General features: G+C 43.2%; 2 protein-coding genes and 1 long non-coding RNA gene across 8 annotated transcripts in view, besides 3 other annotated features; 1 reads left to right on the plus strand and 2 right to left on the minus strand.

Moving 5' to 3' along the window:
* The window catches only part of NUP133 (nucleoporin 133), a 68083-nt gene extending 67494 nt beyond the window's left edge, over positions 1-589 (minus strand). For both annotated transcript variants that reach the window (NM_018230.3, XM_047424979.1), the window contains exon 1: positions 316-589. In NM_018230.3, coding sequence (NP_060700.2) covers positions 316-497 — 182 coding nt within the window. In that variant the 5' untranslated portion in view covers positions 498-589. The remainder of the gene's footprint in view (positions 1-315) is intronic.
* Positions 280-509: a silencer, noted in NCBI's record as "silent region_1931". NCBI's record gives its function as "represses an Ori minimal core promoter by ATAC-STARR-seq in GM12878 lymphoblastoid cells {active_cell/tissue: GM12878}" and the evidence as "EXISTENCE:reporter gene assay evidence [ECO:0000049][PMID:35858748]".
* Positions 560-679: an enhancer, noted in NCBI's record as "active region_2703". NCBI's record gives its function as "activates an Ori minimal core promoter by ATAC-STARR-seq in GM12878 lymphoblastoid cells {active_cell/tissue: GM12878}" and the evidence as "EXISTENCE:reporter gene assay evidence [ECO:0000049][PMID:35858748]".
* On the plus strand, positions 678-6335 carry NUP133-DT (NUP133 divergent transcript). The gene is made up of 3 exons (NR_110630.1): positions 678-927; positions 2372-2488; positions 6226-6335. It is a non-coding gene; the product is annotated as an NUP133 divergent transcript (long non-coding RNA).
* Positions 1450-1744: a silencer, noted in NCBI's record as "tiled region #12340; HepG2 Repressive non-DNase unmatched - State 1:Tss, and K562 Repressive DNase matched - State 5:Enh". NCBI's record gives its function as "represses a minimal TATA promoter and a strong SV40 promoter by Sharpr-MPRA in HepG2 and K562 cells {active_cell/tissue: HepG2 | K562}" and the evidence as "EXISTENCE:reporter gene assay evidence [ECO:0000049][PMID:27701403]".
* Positions 6336-8829: 2494 nt separating the features above from the next.
* Positions 8830-27143, minus strand: part of ABCB10 (ATP binding cassette subfamily B member 10) — a 42126-nt gene continuing 23812 nt past the window's right edge. For 4 of the 5 annotated variants that reach the window (NM_012089.3, XM_011544135.4, XM_047416589.1 and 1 more), the window contains 7 exons: positions 23884-23979; positions 22447-22656; positions 19477-19556; positions 18184-18364; positions 13840-13883; positions 11089-11123; positions 8830-10658 (listed from right to left, as the gene is read on the minus strand). In NM_012089.3, coding sequence (NP_036221.2) covers positions 10427-10658; positions 11089-11123; positions 13840-13883; positions 18184-18364; positions 19477-19556; positions 22447-22656; positions 23884-23979 — 878 coding nt within the window. In that variant the 3' untranslated portion in view covers positions 8830-10426. Of the gene's footprint in view, positions 10659-11088; positions 11124-13839; positions 13884-18183; positions 18365-19476; positions 19557-22446; positions 22657-23883; positions 23980-27143 lie in introns of those variants that run through there. The other variant, XM_047416590.1, reaches the window with a different exon arrangement.

The following is a 27143-nucleotide window of genomic DNA, read 5'->3' on the forward strand; positions in this document are numbered from 1 at the left end:
GAAAATCACGAGTGACTTACACCAGATCACACGGGTAGTAGGTGGGAAGTAGGTAAACACTGATGCAAATCCAGTTTGTACTTCACTTCTGCACAAAGGTATCCATGAAAAATGCAAAGTGGGGAATCAACTGATCAACTGATAATCAAAACGAAGCAGATACTACCTGCAGCAGTGGAAAAGGTCTATTTTCCAATACTGTGGCATTCTATTCCGCCGCCCCGGTTCCAAAGGCTTCTAAAGACAACAACCTATCCGGCCCACTGCGGCCCGTGAGGCTGTTGGTTGCCAGACCCAACCAGGGAGATCACTTACCGCGAGCTTAGCGAGCTACGCCGGCCGACCGGCGAGAAGAGCACTGGGGAGCTGACTGCAGACCCCAGGGGCAGACCCTTCCTGCTAGCCGTCCGGGGCGTGGAGCCGGGCCCGAGTCCGGCCAGCGGGCCCCTTCGGGACCCGGTACCCGGGGTCCGCGGAGAAGGGGCGGCTGGGAACATGACTCCAAGGAGCAGCGACTAGGACAGCGAGGGATCTGGCCGTCAGGTTGCAGCCTGGCCTGCGCGCGGAACTTAAACACCTAAGGGAAGAGATGGCGCGCGATGATGACGTCAAACGCAATGGCTCCCGCGGGTTGTGGTCGGAGCGCTGGCGGGGGCGGGATCGTGACGTTAAGGGCGGTGCCCAGTCAGCGAGGTAGGTCGGGAAGGCAGCCGGCGGCCCCAGATCTAGAACCGCTGCAGTGCCGAGCTTCCAGGGACGTGAAGCCGGAAAGCCAGGCGCCCTTCTTGACTGCGCCTAGGTGGAACTGGCCCTCCAGCAGCTTGAACGTAGCCTCTTTTCACACTGGTAGTTCCTGAACCTCTTGTGAAATGAAAGATGTTCCTCATTCCAAGCTGAGGACGGAGAAAAGCCGTAAAGCTGACACTGGTATCGCACTGTGATATTTGTTGTTTTCTAGGTTTGCCATTTTCCCATTCAACTTTGCGCAGTCTCATCCACGCTGATGACGCCACAAATCCGTGTCTCTAACCTGGATCCAGCTCAAAACCCCCAGACCCCTATCATTCAGCTCCCTAGGGGACAATTTCAGCTGGAAGTCCTGCGAACTCCTCACAATCCACTTATGAAAAGCGCATTCATGTTTTCCTTTAGGACCCCTCTCCTACCACCATCTCTGTTCCAGCTTGGTAAAACTGGCCAGTTGTCCAAGGCAAAGAGAAGAGCTCTATCTGCAGTCATCCCTCACACCTACCTCCACCCTAAGATCATGGTATACGTTGTAAGGTCCTACGTGTCTGTACTAGATCACACATTTGCACTGCCTCTGCCCTGGTTCTGGTACTTACCTTTCCCTCAACCACTGCGTAGCCTCTTCTGCCAGCGGGAGGGAGTAGGGGAGATGGGGAGAGGGTTCCTTACCTGTGTCTAGTCTTCCTCCACTCTATCTTCTCACTGCCAACACAATGAATTAAGGCAAACGTAATGCTGCTCTTGGGCCTGTAAATGCTTCAGTGGCTGACCATTGCCAGTAGGTTATTTGCTAAGCTCCTTTGCAAGGTCCTATGTGATCTAAGTCAGGTTGGCTTTTCCGTCCGTGTTGTACTTCCAGCACTTCCCACTTGCACTCCACATTCCGAGAACTTAAAAACCCAAATCTCCCTCCAGTGCCCATGTCCATGTTTCTCTCACCTGGAATGCACTCCCTGCCTTGTTGGTCCAGAAGGCGCCTACCTTCCGCATCAAGTTAGTTCTGTGCTGCCTTCTCAGTGAAACCTTCCACAGGATTAGGTCCCCCTTATCCTTTGTCCTCTCTGCTCCTGTGTGTAGACTGTATTTTTATCCTGCATAATAGTTTGTTTTCATAATTGTCTGTCAAGTACTTCCTTTTAAATGTCTTGACAGCAAGAGCAGTGACTTTGTTACCTTTGTGGCACACAGTAACAGACACATAGTAGACTTTCATTCAACGTGTGTTGAAATAAGGGAATGGTTAAGTAAACATTGACGTATTCACATGTGGGAGACCACAGTGTGGGTGTCAGTTGTTGACATTCCCCTGGGAAGCCAGTCATCTATCTATGCACCAGTGGCATCTGAGCAGTCATCTTGCCAAGGTTACATAGGCTAGCTGCTTTACTCCTTCTCCCACCTGGGTGTCTAACCCAACTTGGCAGCTTGTTGAGTCTTATAGCTCTGAGAGCCCAGTGCATTTCCTCCCTGTTTCATTCTTACAAGGAGGGGTGTGAAATAGGCAATAGAGAGTATTAATAGTTGTGTCTGAGAGGATTGGTGGGATCAATTTTATTCTTGTGCTTTGTTGGACTGGTTAGTGGTTTCCCCAGCATCCTAATGTAAAAGCTGTTGTTTGCAGGAGCTAGAATGACTTGTCAGCCACCTTTGAGCAAGAACTTGCCTGGAGTCCAAATGTATGGCTATTGAAGGATAGTAAGCAGACAGCACTAAAAGTCATCCATTCGTTATGGATTTAGTGAGTACCTACCATGTGCCAGGCTATGTGATAATTGCTAAGGCTTATAACTAAACAAAGCCCATGGGTCCTACCCTCATGGAGATTACAGACCAATGAGAAAGACAGACACTGAAAAAATGAACACAAATATCCAGCTACAAGCTGAGATGTGTACTATGAAATAAAAGAGCAAAGTGTATGAGAGAGAATCACTGGGGCTACCTATTTTTGCATGGAGGTCTATAAAGGTCTCTGGGAGAAAAGGACGTTTAACCTGAGACATGAAGCATAAGAGAATAGGAGGAAGAATGTTTCAGGCAGAGGATCCTTGGCCAAAGGTCCTGAAGCAGCAAAGGACTTGGTGCATTCTAGGAACTTTATTTATTCTTATTTTACTTTATGATTTTTCTAGAGATTGGGTCTTACTCTGTTGCTCAGGCTGGAGTGCAGTGGCGTGATCAAAGCTCACCACATCCTTAACCTTCTGGGCTTCAGTGATCCTCCTGCCTCAGCCTCTGAGTTGGGACCATGGGCATGTACCACCACACCTGCCTATTTTTTATTTATATATATATTTTTAGAAATGGGGTCTCACGGCCAGGCATAGTGGCTCACGTCTCTAATCCCGGCACCTTGCAAGGCTAAGGTGTGGGAGGATGGCTTGAGGCTAGTAGTTCAAGACCAGCCCCTGGGCAACATAGCAAGACCCTGTCTCCCCAAGAAATTTTATTTTAAATTCTAAAAAAAATACAATTAAAAAATGGGGTCTTGCTATATTTCCCAGGCTGGTCTCAAACTCCGGGTCTTAAGTGATCCTCAAGCCTCAGCCTTCTGAGTAGCTGGGATTAGAGCCAGAGACTTTAAACAAACAAATCAACCTGAAAGACTAAAAGTAAAGGGAATTGGAGAAATAAGGAGAGACCATGAAGGGCCTTGTAGGCTCTGTCAAATAAGATCCTAGAGAAGGCCAGGCGTGGTGGCTCACACCTGTAATTCCAGCACTTTGGGAGGCCCAGGCAGGTGGATTGCCTGAGGTCAGGAGTTCAAGACCAGTTTGGCTAACATGATGAAACCCCATCTCTACTAAAAATACAAAAAAATTAGCTGGGCATGGTGGTGTGTGCCTGTAATCCTAGCTACGTGGGAGGCTGAGGCTGGGGAATTGCTTGAGCCAGGAAGGTGGAGGTTGCAGTGAGCTGTGATGGCGCCACTGCCCTCCAGCCTGGGTGACAGAGCAAGAAATGCAAATCAAAACCACAATGAGATATCATCTCACACCAGTTAGAATGGAGATCATTAAAAAATCAGGAAACAGCAGGTGCTGGAGAGGATGTGGAGAAATGGGAACACTTTTACACTGTTGGTGGGACTGTAAACTAGTTCAAACATTGTGGAAGTCAGTGTGGCGATTCCTCTGGGATCTAGAACTAGAAATACCATTTGACCCAGCCATCCCATTACTGGGTATATACCCAAAGGAATATAAATCATGCTGCTATAAAGACACGTGCACACGTAGGTTTATTGTGGCACTACTCACAATAGCAAAGACTTGGAACCAACCCAAATGTCCAACAATGATAGACTGGATTAAGAAAATGTGGCACATATACACCATGGAATACTATGCAGCCATAAAAAAGGATGAGTTCATGTCCTTTGTAGGGACTTGGATGAAACTGGAAACCATCATTCTCAGCAAACTATCGCAAGGACAAAAAACCAAACACCGCGTGTCCTCACTCATAGGTGGGAATTGAACAATGAGAACATTTGGACACAGGAAGGGGAACATCACACACCAGGGCCTGTTGTGGGGTGGGGGGAGGGGAGAGGGATAGCATTAGGAGATATACCTAACGTAAATGACGAGTTAATGGGTGCAGCACACCAACATGGCACATGTATACATATGTAACAAACCTGCACGTTGTGCACCTGTACCCTAGAACTTAAAGTATAATTATATATATATATATCAAGACTGTCTCAAAAAAAAAATCATAGAGAAAACAGATGGTACCCTCAGGCTAGGTAGTTAAAAGAATTTAATAAAGGAATGTTAGAGGCTGGGGGTGGTGGCTCACACCTGTAATCCCAGCACTTTGGGAGGCCAATGAGGGCAGATCACCTGAGGTCAGTAGTTTGAGACCAGCCTGGCCAACATGGCGAAATCCTGTCTCTACTAAAAATACAAAAATTAGCCATGTGTGGTGGTGCGCATCTGTAGTCCCAGCTACTTGGGAGGCTGAGGCAGGAGAATCACTTGAACCTGGGAGGCGGAGGTTGCAGTGAGCTGATATTGTGCCACTGTACTCCAGCCTGAGTGACAGAGTGAGACTCCATCTCAAAAAGTAAATAGGCTGGGTGCAGTGGCTAACGCCCGTAATCCCAGCACTTTGGGAGACTGAGGTGGGTGGATCACAAGGTCAGGAGTTCAAGACCAGCCTGACCAACATGGTGAAACCCTGTCTCTACTAAAAATACAAAAATTAGCCAGGCACAGTAGCTCACGTCTGTAATCCTAGCACTTTGGGAGGCCGAGGCGGGCAGATCACGAGGTCAGGAGTTCGAGACCAGCCTGGCCAATATGGTGAAACCCCATCTCTACTAAAAATACAGGAAGTAGCGGGGCGTGGTGGTGCGTGCCTGTAGTCCCAGCCACTCGGGAGGCTGAGGCAGAAGAATCACTTGAATCCAGGAGGCGGAGGTTGCAGTGAGCTGAGATTGCACCACTGCACTCCAGCCTGGGCCACAGAGTGAGACTCCGTCTCCAAAAAAAAAAAAAGAAAGAAAAAAATACAAAAATTAGCTGGGCATGGTGGGTGCACGCCTGTAATCCCAGCTACGCAGGAGGCTGAGGCAGGAGAATCGCTTGAACCCAGGAGGCAGAGGATGCAGTGAGCCGAGATTGGCCACTGCACTCCAGCCTGGGCAACAGGGCAGAAAAAAAAAAATAAAATAGTAGCAGTTCATATTGAAAAGGCTATGGGGAAACAAGCACTGCTTACATATCTATCTGGTGGGACTGTAAAAGTACAATCTTTTAAGAGGACAATTTCTATTAAAAAGCCTTATAATTACTTGGCAATTTCACCTTAGAAATTTATGTGAAAAAGTCAAATAACAAAGACAGTATTGTTTATAATAGTGAAGGAGGTAGAAAGTAACATAGATGGCCAACTATAGATTTATAGTGCATCCACATTATGGAAAACCGAAAAAAAATACAAAGGTCCTGAGTCTGAAAAAAAAAGCATTATGAAAAGCTATATTTAAAAGAATACATATGGATGTGAGTAATGAACACTTAACAATGTAGGAAAATATTCATGCAAATTTTCTAAAAAGCAGTTTGGTTAAAAATAGTATGTGCAGAGAATTAGGTCAAAGTTGCAGTTATGTAAGATGCGGAAGTCTAGAGATCTAATGTACAGCATAAGGATTATAGTTAACAACATTGTATTATATCCTGAAAATTTGCTGAGAGGAGATTTTATAGACTCTTTCCTCAAAAAAACCGAAAAAAGGTAACTATGGAAGATGAAGGATAGGATAATTTGCTTGACTGTAGTTTACTGTGCATATACATATCAACATCATGTACACCTTAAATATATAGAATAAAAAATAGTGTGTGCAGTGATACGGTTCAGGACCTACCACCCCAAAATGTGGCACCTTGGCATTTGAGAACACAGTAGAAGCAGGAAGATCATTCTCTGACCTTCTTCCACCCTTCTCCCCTAAAACAGGTCTTAAGACCCTCATTTGAGAGATGCCTTCCCTGTACCTGGAGGAAAGAAACATCTTTATCTCTGAAGACACAGGGCCACAGAGAAGAGTCTGAACAAACAGGCTTTACCAATTTCCCCCAGTTGTTACCGTTAGATCAGACCTTTGTCCAGTCATATCCTTCCACAAGTTGTCCACTCATCAACCCTAAGCATAAAAATGCACAAGTTTCCTTGTTTGTTTGGGTCTTCATTTCCAAGGGCTCCTATGTCATGTTAAACTTTTAAATAAATTTGCATGCTTTTCTCTTGTGAATCTGGTTTTTGTTATAAGGGCCTTAGCCATGAACCTAAGATGGTAAGGGTTTCTTTTCCCCTACATGCAATATAAGTGGATTTAAATTTTATTAAAATAAATAGAAAAATACCTCCCCAGTGTAGACATGTGTGTATGTGTGAGGCGCCCAGGCAACTTGTGGTTCCACTTGGAGACGAGCCTCTCCTCTGTACGTCCTTCCCAAAATATCACCTTTGCAGTTAAGATCAAACTTTGATTTATGTGGGACTAACTAACAACTGCAGTCGACAATAGGAAAGCAGCCAGAATGATTCCCTGCCGACGTGGTGGAATTATTAGACTCCCATTCTCACAGCATGGTAATTAAAGTGTTAAAATGGAGAGGCACAGGACCAAGGAAGAACGCATCCAGAAATTACCCGCACCCAGTCATTTTCAGGGCACTCATCTAATCCTGTCAATGGAACTTTTTGAGATGGCTCTAAATTTCAGTGTGGTTTAGAAGTCCTTCAAGTAGTACGGAATTTTTTCACTGTCTCTGTCATCAGTGAGATTTCTGTCAGGCATCTCAGCTTGTAGGCCATGTAGTCTGTCACAACTCCTCCCCCTTGTGGCTGTAGGGTGAAAGCAGCCGCAGACAATTCCTAGAAGGAGTAGGCTGTTTATGGACACTGAAATTTGAATTTCATGTATTTTTAATGTGTCATGAGATATTCTCTCGATTTTTTTCCAACAATTTAAAACTGTAAAAACTATCCTTAGCCTGCAGGCTATACAAAAACAGCTGTTTGCCAATCCTTGCACTAGCTTTGTGAGGGAGGCACAGCTCGCACCCAGCACAGGACCTAGCAAAATCGAAGATGCTCAGTAAATGTTTATTGAATGAATTCAGTGGACAGATGACCAGAAAAACCCCATGATGCCTCAGAAATACACTCCAAAGGAACTTTTACAATGTAGTTTTCACATAGTTATTTCATTTATATTTGTTTTGTAACATTTGTACTGCTTTTCGCTTATTTACTTTTGAGACAAGGTCTCTGTCTCCCAGGCTGGAGTGCAGTGGTGCGATCTCAGCTCACTGCAACCTCTGCTTCCCAGGTTGAAGTGATTCTCCTGCCTCAGCCTCCTGAGTAGCTGGGATTACAGGCATGAGCCACCATGCCTGGCCGGGAATTCATCTTATTTTATAAAACTGCCAAAGTTATCAAAAATAAACTAAAACCAGGCCGGGCACGGTGGCTCACACCTGTAATCCCAGCACTTTGGGAGGCTGAGGCAGGCGGATCGCTTGAGCTCAGGAGTCGGAGATGAGCCTGGCCAACATGGTGAAACCCTGTCTCAACTAAAAATACAAAAAGCAGCCGGGCATGGTGGCGCACGCCTGTAGTCCCAGCTACTCCGGAGGCTGAGGCAGGAGAATCGCTTGAATCTGGGAGGCAGAGGTTGCAGTGGCCAAGATCGCGCCACTGCACTCCAGTCTGGGCAACAGAGTGAGACTCTGTCTCAAAGGAAAAAAAAAAAAGATGGATTCCCAAAATGGAGCCCTACTTTTATAAGAATGCATTTACAAGGGTTCGACCTACAATGGTTTAACTTGTGATTATTCTTCGGGAACCTGTCAGGCCCAGGGTCAGGGGAGACCTTGAACATACAGACAAGCCTGGGACGGTATATAACAAAATGCTGAGCTCAACAATGCGAAAATTTTCTTTTGAGTTTCTTCTTGCCTGAAACTGTGTATGTCATTAATGCTGAATTAATTCACAACTTGCCTACGCTTATTTCCTCCTCTGTGAAATGGGGAAGATAAATATTTGTCTAAATTACAGGCTTGTCAAAGTATCAAATGTAACATGCAAACACTCTGGAAACAAAAAAGTGATACCAGAACACAGTGTTACAACTACACCTCTTTATGATCCCTAGCTGCATTCTTGTTATTAATTTTCCCCTGCCTTCCCACTCCTTCAAAACTAGAAGCTCCTTGAGGGCAGAAACTGTGGCTTACTCATCTATCAACTTCACAGCACAGTTCCTTGTCCCTGATGTAGGTAGGAGATACTTATTTACTGCAGTGAAACAATTAAACAATATTTGTAAGTAGCAAACAAGTGATGACATTCAACAAACTTGGTAAGGAGGAATGAATGGAACTTTTAATTACAACATGTTTTTGGATATGTGTAATGTTAGTCTTTTCTTTATTCCTGAATCTCCACAGCCAAATTCTACTAAGAAACAATGTAGTGAGAAGTTTTATAAGAAATGACAGACTGCATCTTTGGTTCCTGGGTCATAAAAAAAAAAAAAGTGACAGACACAGATAAAGTTCACTATAAATTTTAATCTATGATATAAAATATTACCTAAAGATAAAATTGAACATCATGTATCAGAAAATAAAACATAACAATGAAATGCAATTTCGTAAATACTTCTATGGCACAAGGATTATTTTCCTCAGATTCAACCTTGTAATTGTGTTGTTTGCTTTCTGAAAATCACACTTTATAAAGAACACAAGTAGAGCTTGTTAAAAATGATTGTCACAGATGTACTGTTTACTAATTCAAAGAACACTATATTCATTCATATCAATTTTATTCATTAATTATGAACAATAAAATATAATATTCCATGCTTTTCATGAAATAGTGGTTTCTTCTTCCAGTCTAATCAGGGAACTAATAAATGCTTAGTTCATGGGAAAACTTCCATTTGATTTACATTGACTTAATTACTTCTTAGGGTCTAGCCTCATCCATGGAGAAAAAGCACTTTTTCTTGAGGCAACAGCAAATTAACAGCACTGATACAAAATATGGCAAATTCAATGGTTGTAGCATTGCTTTAGGAATTTTGAGACTATAAATAAAACTATAACCATAAATAAAAGGGCTTATTAATATCTTCTTTTCAGGAGAGTGATACATTCTGAAGTTTTCTTGTTATTCTGTTGAATAGCAAGGACTTCCAAACTTAAATGTCTTAAGGCTGAAAATTAGTTATATTCCTCAAATTTTAGCCTTATTAATGAAATTCCAAAAGTATTATAAAATAAGATTCAATTTGTCTTGAAATTATAAATTTGTAACAGATATTTTTCAAAATACATGCCTTCAAACAACTTAAATGCAAAAATCATTCATTCTTAATAATACCTAGCAGTTCATGCCTTGCTTCGCAAAAGTACTCATACAAACATGTGAATTTAAAAAACATGTTTTCCTGTTCAAAAAATAAAGCTTCTGCCCTTTTAAAAACTTGTCAGGCTTTCATGTGCCAAAATGTTGAAAACTGCACATATTCAAACATAGTTCCCATAGGAACACATATTCCTCAGCTCTCACACCTTTGAAGACACAGGAGATGGGCAATATAAATGTTCCCTTCTTTCCAGCTGATGTTAAATAGTTAGGTTTGCTTCATGAGATTATCGGAATAAAGGGTTAAATTTTCAATTTCCATTATTCTATCTGTAAAATTAGACTTAAAAGTAGGTAGAATACTACCAGAAGAATTACACAGTGATTGGTAAACTGGCCTAAAATAATCAGGCTTTTTATTTATAATTGCCTTTTTAAAGTTGTCATTTGACAATAGCTTCAATCTTTAACAGCAGGCAAAAGAAAATGAGGTGCCATGCTATATTAATTAAAATATTCCACAAGAAAAGAAAATACAAAACCTGAAAATAACTTCAGTGCTATAGACATTTAAAAAGTTACAATTATTAAAACTCTGAATAAAAAGATCTTGAGAACAGGTACGTTTCAAAACAATCTTTTACACACTTTGGAAAAAAATAGGTATTTTTCAAATAACTTGATATATGGTTTATGTATTTCATAGTCTCTGAGTTTTTTTTCTGCAACACTGTTTTGCATTAAAGTCTCATATTGTTTACCAGTAATTGCTTCCTTATGCTGAAATAAAACTTTGTTTGTTCATTAGTTTTCTGTATATCCCATTTGGTTTTGAAAGCAGCTCTTCATGTTTTCCATATTCAGTAATTTTTCCTTGGTCAAGAACAGCAACCATATTAGCATTCTTAATGGTGGACAGACGATGGGCAATAACTAACACCGTTCTTCCATCCATCAGTCGATCTAGAGCTTCTTGAACAAGGTACTCATTTTCGGCATCCAGCGCACTGACACAGGAGCACACACACAAGAAAGCAAAGACGTCAGTGACACCCATGTGCTTCCTGATACACACAGCAGCCCTTCCTGAGCAATGAATTTTTACCATGATCAAAATTTCAACTGTTTAGGACTTTCTGATCTCCATAAAACTATACTGTGATGTAAGGAGAAAAGCATTCTGCACAGTTACAGCTTACAGAGTGATTAGGATTGATGGCAACCATGTCTGAAGTGGACCTAGAACTCTCAACTAGGACTCAGTCTGCCCACTGGTTTTCAACTGTCATTATTAATTCAGCTTCCCTCACTTTAGAGTAAAGGGGGGAAAAAGGATTTTCAGTTGTATCACTTTGAGGTACAGAATTAAAAGTGTTTTGGTGAAGGAAGAATTTGGTTTAATACACACAATGGCATATATTATTAAGATATCCTCACCTGGTTGCTTCATCTAGGAGAAGAATTTTGGGATTCTGAAGAAGGAAAAAAAAGGAAAAGATAAAATAATTTTATTGGAAAAATACAAACTCTCAGCAATAAAAAAGGAATAAAATTCTGACACATGCTACAATGTGGATGAGCCTTGGAAACTTATGCTAAGTGAAAGAAGCCAGACACAAAGAATCACATACTGTATGAGTTCACTTATATGAAATGTCCACAACAGGCACTTCTACAGATGGTGGATATCTGGGGCTGGGTTCAATGCAGGAAATAAGGAAGGGGAGTTGCATGGCTGCTAAAGAGTAGAGGGTCCCTGGGGGGGTGATGAAAATGTTTTCTAAAATTGTGATGATGGATGCACAACACAGAATACACTAAAAACCAATGAATTTATTTTTTAAATGGGCAAATTATGTAGTATGTGAATTATATCTCAAAGCTGTTACAAAAAAACCCCACAAATTACTAAGTGTCTGGGATAAGTACATAAATGAAAGAATTAGAGACTATTTTAAATGATCATCAGAGTAATCACTAGACCAGGTATCGTTCATAGCACAGTTTTATCCTGCCATCAGAGTAATCACTAGACCGGGTATCCTTTATAGCACAGTTTTATCCTGCTGGTCAGTGAGATGAGAATCTAAAATGAGTAAGATGGCCGGACGTGGTGGCTCACGACTGTAATCCCGGCAATTTGGGAGGCCGAGGCAGGTGGATCACCTGAGGTCAGGAGTTTGGGACTAGCCTGGCCAACATGGCAAAACCCCGTCTCTACTAAAAATACAAAAAAATTAGCTGGCCTGGTGGCACATGCCTGTAATCCCAGCTACTCTGGATGCTGAGGCAGGAGAATCGCTTGAACTCGGGAAGTGGAGGCTGCAGTGAGCCAAGCTCACACCACTGCACTCCAGCCTGGGCGACAGAGTGAGACTCTGTCTCAGAAAATAAATAAATAAAGTAAGTAAGTAAGTAAATAAATAAATAAAATGAGTAAGGCTGAGTACGGTGGCTCACACCTGTAATCCCAACACTCTGGCAGGCTGAGGGGGGAGGACTGCTTGAGCCCAGGAGTTCAAGACCAGCCTGGGCAAAATAGCAAGACCCCATCTCTACCAAAAAAATTTTTTTTTAAATTAGCTGGGTTTGGTATGGTATGCACCTATAGTCCTAGCTCCCTGGGAGGCTGAGACAGGTAGATTACTGAAGCCCAGGAGGTCAAGGCTACAAGTGAGCCATGATCACACCACTGCACTCCAGCCTGGGTGACAGAATGAGACCGTCACAAATTTAAAAATAAAATTAAATTAAAATTAAAAAGATATGTCTATAACTTTCAAGGTCCTGCTTATAGTTAATTTAGAAATAATAAACTAACTTTGGGAGGCCAAGGTGGGTGGATCACTTGAGGTCAGGAGTTCAAGACCAGCCTGGCGAACATGGTGAAACCCCACCTCTACTAAAAATACAAAAATCAGCCGGGTGTGGTGGCGTGCATCTGTGATCCCAGCTACTTGGGAGGCTGAGGCATGAGTATCACTTGCAACCTGGGAGGCAGAGTTTGCAATGCGCTGAGATCGACCACTGCACTCCAGCCTGGGTGATACAGCGAGACTCTGTCTCAAAAAAAAGAAAAAAAGAAAAAAGAAAAGCTAACACATGAGACCAAAAAAAAAAAAAAGAGACTAATCTGATGTAGATAAAACATTACAAGTCCAGCTTTGCAAATGAAAACACACACCCTCACAAAAAGGTAGCTACTATTCTTTATATATTATTCACAATAGCCCCAAACTGGAAATGACCCAAGCGTTTATCAGCTGGTGAACAGATCAACAAATAGGGATCCATCCATACTACTTAACAGTAGAAGGGAATAAAGTACTGATACAAACTACAAATTGGAGAAATCTCAAAAACACTCCACCTGTACTAAGTGAAAGAAGCTAGATGCCAAAAACCATATATCGTCTGATTCCATTTATCTGAAATGTCTGGAAAAGCAAATCTAGACAGACAGAAAGTAGATTCGTGGCATCCTGGGGCCGGAAACAAGGAACGACTGACTGCAAGTGGGCACAAGAGATCTTTTTAGGGTGACAGAAATGTTCTGAAACTGGACTTTGTGTGCAACCAACTCCGCAAATTTACTAAAAGTCACTGGAAAGTACATTTAAAATAAATGAATTTTATATATGTAAATTCTGCTTCAGTAAAGCTGCTTTTTTTTTTTAATCACCTATAAGCCTGAGAAGAACAGTTGTATAACAAAGGGAAGGCTATTGCTTCCTTAAAAAGAGAATGCCCGCCTTTCAGCTAAAATGGCTCTTCCCTTTCCTTCTAGGAATCTTGTCTAAGTACTTCAAGTCTGTACTATTCACTTTAGCAGCTGATTACAGATTGTACAAATATGCATACTTACGCTGTTTTATATTTTGCATTAATAATCACTGTTTCACTGGCTAGACTGTATGCTTCTTGATGGAGGGTCCATGTGTTAAATTCTTCTACCTCCAACAACCTTAGCACAGTACTGAGCTCATGATACCTAAGAAATACTTGTTAAATTTGGACAATATACTACACTAACTTACCTTTCACCAGAACTGTCACCCTCCCACTCCAAGAAAAAAAAAAAAACAAAAAACAGGAAAAGGAAGAAGACAAATAGTAAATTACAAATTACAAGGTCCCTAATAAAAATAATCCCTAATTTAAAAAACATCCAAGTCGCTTCAGGCTTACCTTTAGCAGAGCACGGGCAATCGCAATCCGCTGTTTCTGCCCACCTGACAAAGACAACATTTAAAAAAAGAAGGCCTCAACAAAAAATCTTAGTAATAGGCTTTTATGATAAACCATATAGCAATTTGAAGGCAAGCTTCTTCTAGTTAGTCATAGCTGACACAGATAGACCAGAAACCTATTTTAAAATATAGGTTTAAAATATATCAATCCCAAAATTAATAATTATTATCATAGCCAAAATGTATTGATGACTTCCTATATACCAAGTATTTTCTTTTCTTTCTGTTTTTGAGACAGGGCCTCACTCTGTCACCCATGCTGGAGTGCAGTGGCATGATCACGGCTCATTGCAGCCTCAATCTCCTGGGCTCAAGTGATCCTCCCACCTCAGCCTCCCAAGTAGCTGAGACTACAGGTGTGCACCAACACACCTGGCTAATTTTTGGTAAAGATGGGGTTTTGCCATGTTGCCCAGGCTGGTCTCAAGCTCCTGGGCTCAAGCAATCCGCCCACCTCAGCCTCCCAAAGTGCTGGGATTATAGGCGGGAGCCACAGTGCCCGGCCAATACCAGGCATTTTCTATATGCACTGCATGTATTATCTCATTTAATGTTTTTATTTTAAATAATTTCAAACAAGGTCTTGCTCTGTCACCCAGCTGGAGTGCAATGGCATGAACACGGCTCATTGCAGCTTCAACCTCCTGGACTCAAGTGATCCTCCTGCCTCAGCCTCCTGAGTAGCTGGGACCACAGGCCCATACCACCAAACCTGGCTAATTTTTAAAATTTTTTGGAGACATGGTCTTGCTCTGTTGCCCAGGCTGGTGTCAAACTCCTGGACTCAAGAGATCCTCCTGCCTTGGTCTCCCAAAGTGCTGAGATTGGGAGCCACTGTGTGAGCCACTGTGCCTGACTAATCTTTTTAAAAATCCTATGAGACAGACCCTATAATTATTCCCATTTTACAGATGATAAACTGAGATACAAAGTAGCATGTCCAGGATCTCATAGTTGGTAAGTAGTGGAACTGAGATCTGAACCTACACAGTGCAAGGGGTATGCTCTTAAAAGCATGTAAAGATCTATGCTGTTCATCACTACACATATTTCCTCCCTAGCAGAATATCCAATGTAGCAAGGAAACCAGAAACTCAAGATATTTGCAGTTTCCAAAGAACACTTGAAATGTCTGGGAGCAAAGGACATCAGTGGTGCTGAGACTGATAATTCTAATATTCCCACATTATAGCAATTCTTTTTTTATTTTTTTTGAGACAAGAGTCTTGCTCTGTCTTCCAGGTGGAGTACAGTAGTGCAATCATGGCTCACTGCAACCTCTCGCTCCTGGGCTCAAGTGATTCTCCTGCCTCAGCCTCCCCAGTACCTGGGACTACAGGCAGTGCCACCATGCCCGGCTAACATAGCACTTATTCTTTATGATGTTCTTTTTTTCCCCTCCTCTAGAGGAAAAAATAGTAATATGTGTGTATGTATGACACTGAAAATTACAGTAAGTCACTCTAATCCTGTCTTTTTAAGCTCAAATTCTACTAAAAGTGAGGGAACAAACTGGAAGTAGGTGTGGGAGAAGGTGGGATGGAGTGGAGTCAGCAGGATCTGTGTTGATTCCCTCCCTATCTTTGTCTCACCCCATCCTCCCTCCTTTCCTCCAGGAACGCTACTCCTAAGTCATACTTGGAAAGTCTCAGAGTGCTCACTCCTCCCAACTTACATTGTTTATAAAACCCAATTCCATTTTTGGGGATAAAAAACATTCCTTTTTGATTTTATTGGCTGAACATACTTATCAACAGTAGTTGCTGGACATCATTTTATTTCATATAAGAGAGGTTCATCCTCTACATCTGAGGTGTGTGGTGCTGCTAAATGCTGCTCTAAACAGGAAACCAGTGCACACAAGGAGGGCAGTGAGGAAAACCCTCTCCTGAGCCTCTGATTGGTGAGGCTGTCTGAGTGCCCTGAGGTAGGTCCTTAGAGCAGCCTGCTGATGGCTTAGGTCCCCTCTGAGTCATGTGTGGTGCCAATCAGTACCCTGGGAATCTATTACTAGGTGCTCTGTCTTCCTCCCAGAAAGCAAGAGCAGACTGGAACCTCTGGTTACTTCGCTGAGAAACGGAACTGGAGGATCCTACCAGAGGGAAGGACATGCAGAATCTGTGTCAAGGGAGGTGACGTGCTCTTAGGACAAGCCTCACACTTCAATGTTCAATAATTTCACCACGAGCAGTTTACACTGGTTTTCTGCCCCGTTTCTCAGATATGTTTCAGAGATGGAGTAGCAGTTCACTTTCACACAGCAGTCAGGAATTCTACTCCTGGAACATCTCAGATCTATCAAAGACGCCTTTTCATCTACTGCTTATATATATATATATATTTTAAATCATATACAATAAGCTTAAAACCCTTTTGTTTTATATTTTCTGTGGTCTAACTTCAAATGAAAAGTTTAGCATAGGAAAAGACTGTTGTTTTAGTCTAATCTGCCAGCCTTCACTGTCACAAAGAGGCAACCACCCTCTGCTCAAACAGAGACAAGTTTTTTGTTTTTTTTTTTAAGACAGAGGCTCACTCACTCTGTCATTAAGGGTGGAGTGCAGTGGTGCGATCCCAGCTCACTGCAACCTCTGCCTCGCTGGGCTCAAGCAGTACTCCTACCTCAGCCTCCCGAGTAGCTGGGACCATAAGTGCTCACCACCACACCTGGCTATTGTTTTGTATTTTTGGTAGAGAGGGGGTCTCACCATGTTGCCCAGGCTGGTCTCGAACTACTGAGCTCAAGCAATCAGCCTGTCTTGGCCTCCCAGAGTGCTAGGACTACAGGCATGAGCCACCATGCCCGGCCAGGAACTTGTTATCTTGCAAGGAAACATTTCAATATTTGTATTGAAAAAAAAAAGTGTTTAGCTGAACATTTATTTCTCTTAAAGTTCTACTCATTGGTTCATTTCTGCACTTTAAAGAAATACAAACTGAGTCTTCTCTCTCCTCAAAATATGGCAACCATAATGTGATCCAGAATGATAGGTGTGGTCTGACACCACAGGGAATCGCTCACTTTGCCTCACAGCCGTGAGTCTATTCAGCAAATTATGGCCCACAGGCCAGACCTGAACCATGGCATGTCTATGCACGGCCCTCAAGCTAAGAATGTGTTTTACATTTTTAAAGTTGCTTAAAAGCACACACACACAAAGAAGGATGTGTGACAGCCATCATATGTGACCCATAAAACCCACAATTTTTTTTTTTTTGGGACAGAGTCTCATTCTGTCTCCCAGGCTGGAGTGCAATGGCACAATCTTGGCTCACTGCAACCTCCGCCTCCTGAGTTCAAGCAATTCTCATGCCTCAGCCTCCCGAGTAGCTGGGATTACAGGTGCCCACCACCACGCCCAGCTAACTTTTTGTATCTTTAGTAGAGACAGGGTTTCACCATGTTCACCAGGCTAGTCTTGAACTCCTGATCTCAAGTGATCCACCTGCCTCGGCCTCCCAAAGTGCTGGGATTACAGGTGTGAGCCACCGTGCCTGGCCAAAACCCACAATATTTACTGTCTGGCTCTTTAAAGAAAAGTTTGTCAAACCCTGGTCTAGTATGTAGGGAGTAAATAATTCTTTCAATTTCAGCTTTGTTCCTGATGCACATTCCCTGACTCCCTGGGCAAATCATCCTGCCACTTCTTATTTTCTTTAATTTTTGAGGGTCTCAGGTTGCAAAGCACATTTGTTGTTGTTGTTGTTGTTGTTGTTTTTCAGATGAAAAAAAGCTTGCTGTGGCTGAGTACTACTCAGAATTTTTGGAACACATATGGGGTAGAAAGTGAAAGAAAACACTGGGGAATTTTCCACATATAAGAGAGCAAGTGGTAAGGCTAATTTCAAAAACTCTAAAGATGAAAACCTAATTAGAAAATAATACTGCAATATAGAAACATGTGGGCTGGGCACGGTGGCTCACGCCTGTAATCCCAGCACTTTGCGAGGCCAAGGTGGGCGGATCACGAGGTCAGGAGATCAAGACTATCCTGGCTAACACGGTGAAACCCTGTCTCTACTAAAAAATTAGCTGGACGTGGTGGCAGGCACCTGTGGTCCCAGCTACTCGGGAGGCTGAGGCAGGAGAATGGCATGAACCCAGGAGGAGGAGCTTGCAGAGAGCCGAGATTGCGCCACTGCCACTGCACTCCAGCCTGGGTGACAGAGCAAGACTCAAGACTCCGTCTCAAAAACAAAACAAACAAACAAAAAAAACAAGAAACATGTGAAAAGTTCTTTGGATATAGAGACTTTGCTACAAAGCAGTAAAGAAATGCACCTGAGAGGAGAACACCCTTTTCTCCAACCACAGTGTTGAACCCTTGGGGGAAATTCCGGATGAAGGCCACTGCATTGGCCACTTCAGCCACTCTCTGGATTTCCTCAGCGGTCACAGAGGAAGGGTCATCAGCACCATAAGCAATGTTCTCAGCAATAGAGCAAGAAAACAAAATGGGTTCCTACAAATTGGAAATAAAACATATCACGAATTTCAAACAGACTTAAAACATGTCTAATAAATTTAGACCTAGCAGTCTTTTTTAAAATTTATGTTTTGCCATGAACAGGATTTTATCATCTGTAGTTCTCACCATGCTGCAAGCAATGAGACCTCACAGCAGGTGCCCGCAAGGCACCTGGCACATGGTAGGAACTTTGTAAATGTCAGTCCCCTGCCTTAGGAATCAGGAGGCACCAGGAGACCCCAAGTCCACCTGCATTTTCCAGCTGCCTGCCTTCCACTCAGGACAAAGCGGGGAATCCATCTCCATCCATTACTTTTTGAAATACACACAAACCACATGGGAACAAACAATTCTGACAGAACCCTATGGAGTAGTCCTAAAAAATAAGCAAACTTCCAGGCTCTTTTCTCCATCCCTAATCATATACACCACTGATGTCCCTACACTCCTGAGCACCCATCACCATCCACCTGCCCTCACCCAAGTGGAGTGGGGAGAGGATGAGCTAATCACAAAGAGAGGTTCAGAAATGGGGGGAGGCTCAGGTTTGTATGCTGTGTGCACAGCCTGGTAATAAAAATTAAAACAGCTGCAGCAACATTTCCCTGCCCCAAAGGGTCTTGTGAAAATGGCCTTATCAAAGTGACCACATTACATTAACACTCTGCTTTGAAATCTGCAACTTCTTTGCAAGGAGGACTCTGGCTCTTGCCATAGTCTTTGCTCACTTTTCCCTGAAACTCATTATGCAGAATAGTAGACTGTGGCTGGTGATGAAAATGGGAAGTGGGGAAGAATCAGTAAAAGCTAAAAAAGAGTCAATAAAATCTTCTATCATTTCCTCCCCATCCTCTAGACTATCTAGTAATGGTAGTCTCCAGCTTTCAATAAAAAGTCAATGCTTCACCCTTGCTCAAACATTTAGGGTTTTCAGGAAACAGCGCTACTTGCAAACCTAAACAACCTGCCATGTGAGATGAGCTTAATACATCCCAAAGACTTCCATTCCTTCTCTCTTGAGAAGTTCGAGACAAAAAAAAAAAAAAGCAAAAGACAAAAGTAATTTTAAAAGAAAGTGAAATAGAAATGGAAGCCTCTCTTCTTACCTGACTCACTGTCCCAATTTTGGATCTCAGCCACACTGGGTTTAGCTGACGGATGTCATGGCCATCAAGACTAATAGTTCCTTGTTGAGAGGAAAGGAAAGGAAAGAGTCACTGAGTGTGATGAGGCTGATGACCAACACAGAAAGGATCCGGTGGGAAAATTCCAGACTCATTTTTTAAAGATCAAAATGTACTGAAAATCTCCAGATGGACTCTAAAACTAACATATTTCATGAAATTTCAGAGCTAAAAGGGACTTTCTGGATTGTCCAAGTTATTGTCTCCCGATAGTAGCTGGATGACTATCTCACCGAGTCCATCTGTCCAGCTTGCCTTCCTGTACTCCGGAGGTTGTAGGGAGTTTTCCCAAAACTCCCTAGTGACTTAGGATTCCACCGATAAGATGCACTTGTGCAAAGCTTTAATTCAGAAGGGAGGGGCAAGCCATGAGGCATCCACTTGCTGGCACGAATACTGGCAGAGGTGGCACAGCTCTGAAGCTGGCATTCATGACAGCAACTGCCTAAATTTGTAGCTTCCTGACCATGCCAGTGTCAGCAGCTACCTTGAAGGCCTGGTTCTGGGGTGGAGTTCTGCAAACTGTCCTGGAAGTACAATCTAGAATCTATTTTGTCATTCCTGCCAGTGATTTTTGAGCTCTTTTATTACTCCTTAAAATATCCCTTTCTGTAATAAGCTTAGTTGGTGAGGAATCTGTTGTCTGCAACTAAGAATCTGGTCGATACCATGGCAGAGCTTTTAAATAATCAGACGCTATCTTTATGACTTTTGCTAACAGAATTCTTCACATTGAGGGTGCTCAACAAAACTTGGTGATGATGACAACAGTGACAGCATAAGAAATGCCATTTCTTCTCAGTTAATGTTGTGGAATTATAGAAGCCAGCTGGAAATGTTCACAAACTGGCAAAAACTTGAGGTCTTTGACGAAAAAGCACAAAGCTCTTTATAGACTACACATGGCAGACATTTAACTGCAGTTTGCTTTGTCCTGGATTTATTCATTGTGATGAAGAAACTAGAGACTCAGTATTTTTACTTGAATTACAGCAACCTAAATAGGATTTTTTTTGGTCTTTTTTTTTTTTCCTTTTTATGGAGAACAAGGTCTCACTATATTGCCCAAGCAGGTCTCAAACTCCCGGGCTCAAGCTATCCTCCCACCTCTGCCTCCCTAAGAGCTGAGATTACAGGTGTGAACTACTGTGCCCAGCTAACTAGGATTTTTTTAAACTCCAAATTTTATAGCAAGTGAATGGTGAATCAAGAAAGTGATTCCAGAGACAAACAATGTAGTAAGCCCCATTTTAACACAGGTGGTGATTCCATGGGTCAGGATTTGCAAGTCACATATTTATCTGACATGTAACCAGCTCTCACATTGTTTTAACCAAAAAGCATAAGCACAAAGACACAAAACATTCATTTTTTAAATTACAGAATTTTTTTTTTTTAATAAATAGTGACAGGGTCTCACTATGTTACCCGGGCTGGTCTCCAACTTGTGGCCTCAAGTGATCCTCCCACCTCAGCCTCCCAAAGTGTTGCAATTACAGGTGTGGGGCTCCACATCTGGCCAAAATATTCTTTCTAAATTCATGATTTGATTTTTACTAAGAGTTGTTTGCTTGCTGACATTGTTGTCTACTACAGGGAAGATAGAAGTAAAATCATGTGCTCTTTGCTCTTAAAGATGTTATAATCCAGTTAAAAATAAAATAAAAACTAGAATGAGAAAAATCATCCATTAAGAAAATCCCGGCTGGGCGCGGTGGCTCACGCCTGTAATCCCAGCACTCTGGGGGACTGAGGAGGGTGGATCACGAGGTCAGGAGATCGAGACCATCCTGGCTAACACGGTGAAACCCCATCTCTACTAAAAATACAAAAAAAATTAGCCGGGCATGGTGGCAGGCGCCTGTGGTCCCAGCTACTCGGGAGGCTGAGGCAGGAGAATGGCGTGAACCCGGGAGGCGGAGCTTGCAGCAGTGAGCTGAGATCGTGCCACTGCACTCCAGCCTGGGCAACAGAGCAAGACTCCGTCTCAAAAAAAAAAAAAAAAAAAAAAAAAAAAAAAAAAGAAAATCCCTACTAGGTCAAAATAGTTTCAATGGAACAGTCACATAGAAGTTAATCACTGGCCAGGCACGGTGGCTCACACCTGTAATCCCAGCACTTTGGGAGGCCAAGGCGGGTGGATCACGAGGTCAGGAGATCGAGACCATCCTGGCTAACACGGTGAAACCCCAACTCTATTAAAAATACAAAAAATTAGCTGGGCGTGGTGGCAGGCACCTGTAGTCCCAGCTACTCGGGAGGCTGAGGCAGGAGAATGGCGGGAACCCAGGAGGCAGAGCTTGCAGTGAGCTGAGATCGCGCCACTGCACTCCAGCCTGGGCGACAGAGCAAGACTGTCTCAAAAAAAAAAAAAAAAAAAAAAAAAAGAAGTGAATCACTGATGGCCAAGTTAACTGTGTGCACAATAAGCATTCAATGGCTCACAGGCAGAGGCAGAGGTTCTCCAGGAGCTCCCTATCACTCCTGCGCCCAGCACGCGCACTGGCACACGGTGGTTCTCCAGGGTGCTGCTGGAGCACCCCAGGCACTCTGTCCTGGCTGCTGAGCACAGCCTCGTCCACCTGCTCCCAGTAGAGGGCATGTCCAGAGGAGATACCCGCATGGGAGATGAGGAGGTAGATCTGGGGAAGTCACTCTGGGCTTGAAGAGGTAGGACACATTACACACAAAAAGCTCTAAAGGCCTCTGTATGAGCTGTCATGCCCCTGCAAATGACACCTTCTGTTTGAGGGATTTCTTTCCACTGGCACTTAGAAAAGAAGGTACTCTACAAAATAAGGTATTTGCATGGTTTGAGCATCTCCTAGGGCGCAAAAGTGGGAGCAGAGCTCGGGAGAGTCCCTCGGTGCTACAGTGTGGTGAACTGCTTACCAGAAGCAGGGTCGTACAACCTCAGCAGGAGTGAAAGCACTGTTGATTTGCCAGAACCACTTGGGCCAACCAGTGCCGTGACAGATCCTGACGGAATGGAAAGGCTGAAATCCTGAAATATGGGCACCTCTGGGCGAGCTGGATAGGCAAAATGCACGTTCTTAAACTCCAAAGCACCCTGGAAGCTTTTCTCATTTAAGATGACCCCCTCTGAAACATAAAATGGAATATTAATTACTTACAGCAAAAAATTAAACTCAAAAGCTGAACTCGGTTCTCCTACTCATCTGGCTATGGATGGGTGACTCCACCACAGCTAATCCTGGTATATGAGCTCTTAAAGGGCAAGTCAGAAGCAAACCTAGGCTAAATGCTTACCACGTGCCAACTCTGCACCTACTATGTCCAAGGTACTATATACGTAGACGGTCTTACTTGATCCTTACAACCCTGAGAGGTAGAAATTATAATTCCAATTTTGCTGATGAGGACATTGAAGACCACAGACAACAACCTGCTTAAGCTAACAAGTAGTGGAGTTAAGATCCACCCTTGTTAGTCTGGTTTCAAATCCGATGGCCTTCTCTCTATGCCACTGCCTCTGTGTAGCTCCAGAGTTTATCTTACCTACCCGGAATAAATATTTTGGAAGAGTTATGATGAAACGGGGAGCGCTGCACAGCAGCCGCAGAACTGGAGGGGTCAGAGGTCTGTTCTGCCCTGGTGTTCACCTACTGTGCTTTGGGAGACACTACTGAAACTCTCTCAGCTGGACCTATTTCCTAGGCCTATCACATTGGAGAATATTGGGCTTTCATTTATGGACCTGGGGCTACCTGACAATGTCCTAGGAAGTCAATAAGCAGCTGGGAGTGGTTACTACTCATAGCCATTTCTCCTGATTCCTGGCTAGTTGGTTTAGGCCCTACAGCTCCAGGGAAGTCACTGATAAGGAAGGAGATGGCTCCAGCCAATGAGTACCAGCCTCCCCTACCCCACACCAAAATGCCAAGAAACTTAGATATTTTCTTATGTCTGATTCCTCCTCCCTTATTCCCACCCTAGCCCTCCACAGAGATGTCAGAATCACTAGGGAAGATCAATTTGGTAAACTAGCTGGGACACAGCCCTGGGCCACACTGACTTCCATCCTGCCCTTTGCGGTAACACCCAGATGGAGGGAGGGGAACAGAGGGCAGCACACTATGTGGCCAGCCCATGCATCCAGGGACACCCTGGCCCACAACAGTGCCCCAGCAGCTGTCCCACCCCCTCTCATAGAAAACCTGACCACCTCCTCACCCGGCCCGCCATGCAGCAGGAGCCACATCCTTACTGTGGCTCATCCCTCACTCCCTTGCAGACAGGGGAAGAGCTGGTCTCATTGTTCAAAGCCACATTTGTTAATCCTAGCAAAGAAACAATTTTCAGACCCACCGTTAAAAGGCAGCTTGGGCTCTCTCTCCAGGAGCTCCCAGAGGCGCCCCCCTGCACCCAGTCCTTTCATCAGCTCCGAGTAGAAAGAGCTCAGACCTGAGGATGAGAAGCAGAATCCACACACATGTCCATCACTGGCACTGGCACTGGCCACCACTCCTCTGAGAGGAGTGACAATGATTGCTTTTAATATAAAATCTGTTATTAATATTTTCAAAAAACAACTTGAGGCAGCTTCCTGGGAACTGATACTCAGAATTGCTTGTCTCATACTCTAGTTTTCCTTTGGCTTCTCCTCCTCCAGTTTCATAGTTTTTTTTTTTTTTTTTTTTTTTGAGACAGATCATCACTCTGTCACCCAGGCTGGAGTGCACTGGCACAATCTCAGCTCACTGCAATCTCCATCTCCCCAGTTCAAGTGATTCTCCTGCCTTAGCCTCCCGAGTAGCTGGGATTACAGGCGCAAGCCACCAGGCCTGGCTAATTTTTTTATTTTTAGTAGAGATGGGGTTTCGCATGTTGGCAAGGCTGCTCTCAAACTCCTGACCTTAGGTGATCCACCCGCCTCAGCCTCCCAAAGTGTGGGATTATAGGCATGGGCCACTGCACCTGGCCACATTTCACTGATTTCTAATAAGGACTTAATGTTTGATCAGGGATTGAAAAACATATATAGTCATACTCATCAACCACTGGATTAAAATCATAATGCCGCAGAGGAAATCTACCTAGTTAAAAGCATTGTAATTTAACTGAAATGTAATGCTATCTCATAATTTAAAAAAATATAAAATACTTCAATGTTGATTTTAAAGACAAATCCACAAAATAATACCTCACCTTCAGCCACTCAATAAATACAACTTTGATACGCTACTCACATACTCCCATATACTTCAAGTAATCTCTAGATTACTTATAATACCTCATACAATGTAATGCTATGTTTAAAAAAAAAAAAAGGGCCAGGCAAAATGGTTCATGGCTGTAATCTCAACACTTTGGGAGGCCAAGGTGGGAGGATTGCTAGAGCCCAGGAGTTCAACATCAGCCTGGGCAACATAGAGAGAACCCTGTTTCTACAAAAAATAACTGTAAGGCCAGGCCTGGTAGCATGTGCCTATATTCCTAATTACTTGGGAGGCTGAGGCAGGAGGATTGCTTGAGTCCAAGAGGTTAAGGCTGCAATGAGGTATTACTGCACCACTGCACTCTGGCAGCACTCAGAGCAACAGAGCGAGACCCTGTCTCAAAACAAAAAACAACAACAACAAAACTTTCACAGTAGTAAAAACTGAAATAAATTTGGTTAATGTTAAACATTCCAGCAATCTCTTTATTTTTATTTTTTTGTGGAGACAGGGTCTCACTATGTTCCCTAGACTGGTCTTAAACTCCTGGGCTCAAGCAATCCTCCTGCCTTGGCCTCCCAAAGTGCTGGAATTACAAGTGTGTGTCACCGTCCCTGGTCTCTAGCCATCCCTTTTTAAAGTCAGCTTTGAACCATTATTATTATTTTTTTTTGAGACGGAGTCTTGCTCTGCTGTGGTGTAGTATCTATCACTGAACCTCTGCCTCCCAGGTTCAAGCAATTCTCCCTGCCTCAGCCTCCCGAGTAGCTGGGATTACAGGTGCCCCCCACCATGCCTGGCTAATCTTTGTATTTTTAGTAGAGATGGGGTTTCACCATGTTGGCCAGGCTGGTCTCCAACTCCCAACCTCAAGTGATGTACCCACCTCAGCCTCCCAAAGTGCTGGGATTATAGGTGTAAGCCACCATGCCTAGCCTGAACCATTTAACAACTTAAACCCCAAATGCAATGGTCTACATCAAATGTGAGGACATACATTTGTAACATTTTCCCTCAGTGAGGATGCTGAAAAAATACAATTCAAATATTCTACAGTATGAATATTTATGCAAGATACAATGGACTAAAATTTTTAGGCTGAATTAAAAATGCATTTGGCAAAAATAGACCCCCATAAACAGTCAACTGATTTTTGACACAGAAGCAAACGCAATACAATGGAGATGCAACGGCAATATACATATTATCTTTTTAACAAATGGTTCTAGAACAACTGAATATCCACATGCAAAGAAGGAATCTAGACACAGACCTTACACCTTTCCCAAAAACTAATGTAGAGTGAATTACAGACCTAATGTAAAACACAAAACAATAAACTCCTAGAAGGCAACCTAGGAGCAAGTGTAGATGACCTTGAATTTGGTGATGACTTTTTAGATACAATACCAAAGGTACAATCCATGAAAGAAAGAAGCTGGACTTCATTAAAATTAAAAATGTATGCTTTGCAAAAGACAATGTGAAAAGAAGAGGACCAGCCACAAACTGGAAGAAAATATCTGTAAAAGACCTATCCAATAAAGGATTGCTACCCAAAATATACGAAGAACTCTTAAAACTCAACAATACGGAAACATGAAGACTTACTTAAAAATGGTCAAAAGTCCTGAACAGACAACTCACCAGAGAAAATATACAGAGAGCAAATAAGCATATGAACAGACGCTCAACATCATATGTCATCAGGGAAATGCCAACTAAAACAACAATGAAATACCATGCATCTATCAGAATGGCTAAAAGCTAGAACACTGACGCCACTAAATGCTGGGGTGGATGTGGAGCAACAAGAACTCTCATTCCTTGCTAGTGGGGATGCAAATGGGACACACATTTTGGAAGGCAGTTTGGGAGTTTCTTACAAAACTAAAATTTTTTTTGTAAGAAAAAAATTCATTCGGTCACCATAGAGATGTCAAAAATTGCCAATGCTGGCCGGGTGCGGTGGCTCACACCTGTAATCCCAGCACTTTGGGAGGCCAAGGTGGGCAGATCACTTGAGGCCAGGAGTTCAAGACCAGCCTGGCCAACAGGGTGAAACCCTGTCTCTACTAAAAAAAAAAATACAAAAATTAGGCCAGGCGTGGATGGCTCATGCCTGTAATCCCAGGACTTTGGGAGGCCGAGGCAGGTGGATCACCTGAGGTCAGGAGTTCAAGATCAGCCTGGCCAACATGGTGAAACCCCGTCTCTACTAAAAATACAAAAAAAATAGCTGGACGCAGTGGCACGCACCCGTAGTCCCAGCTACTCGGGAGGCTGAGGCTGGAGAATCGCTTGAACCTGGGGGGGTGGAGGTTGCAGTGAGCCAAGACCGCGCCACTGCACTCCAGCCTGGGTGACAGAGCAAGACTCCATCTCAAAAAAAAAAAAAAAAAAAAAGGC

This window comes from Homo sapiens, chromosome 1, assembly GCF_000001405.40.
Source record: "Homo sapiens chromosome 1, GRCh38.p14 Primary Assembly".
In the NCBI taxonomy this organism is placed as follows: Eukaryota; Metazoa; Chordata; class Mammalia; order Primates; family Hominidae; genus Homo; species Homo sapiens.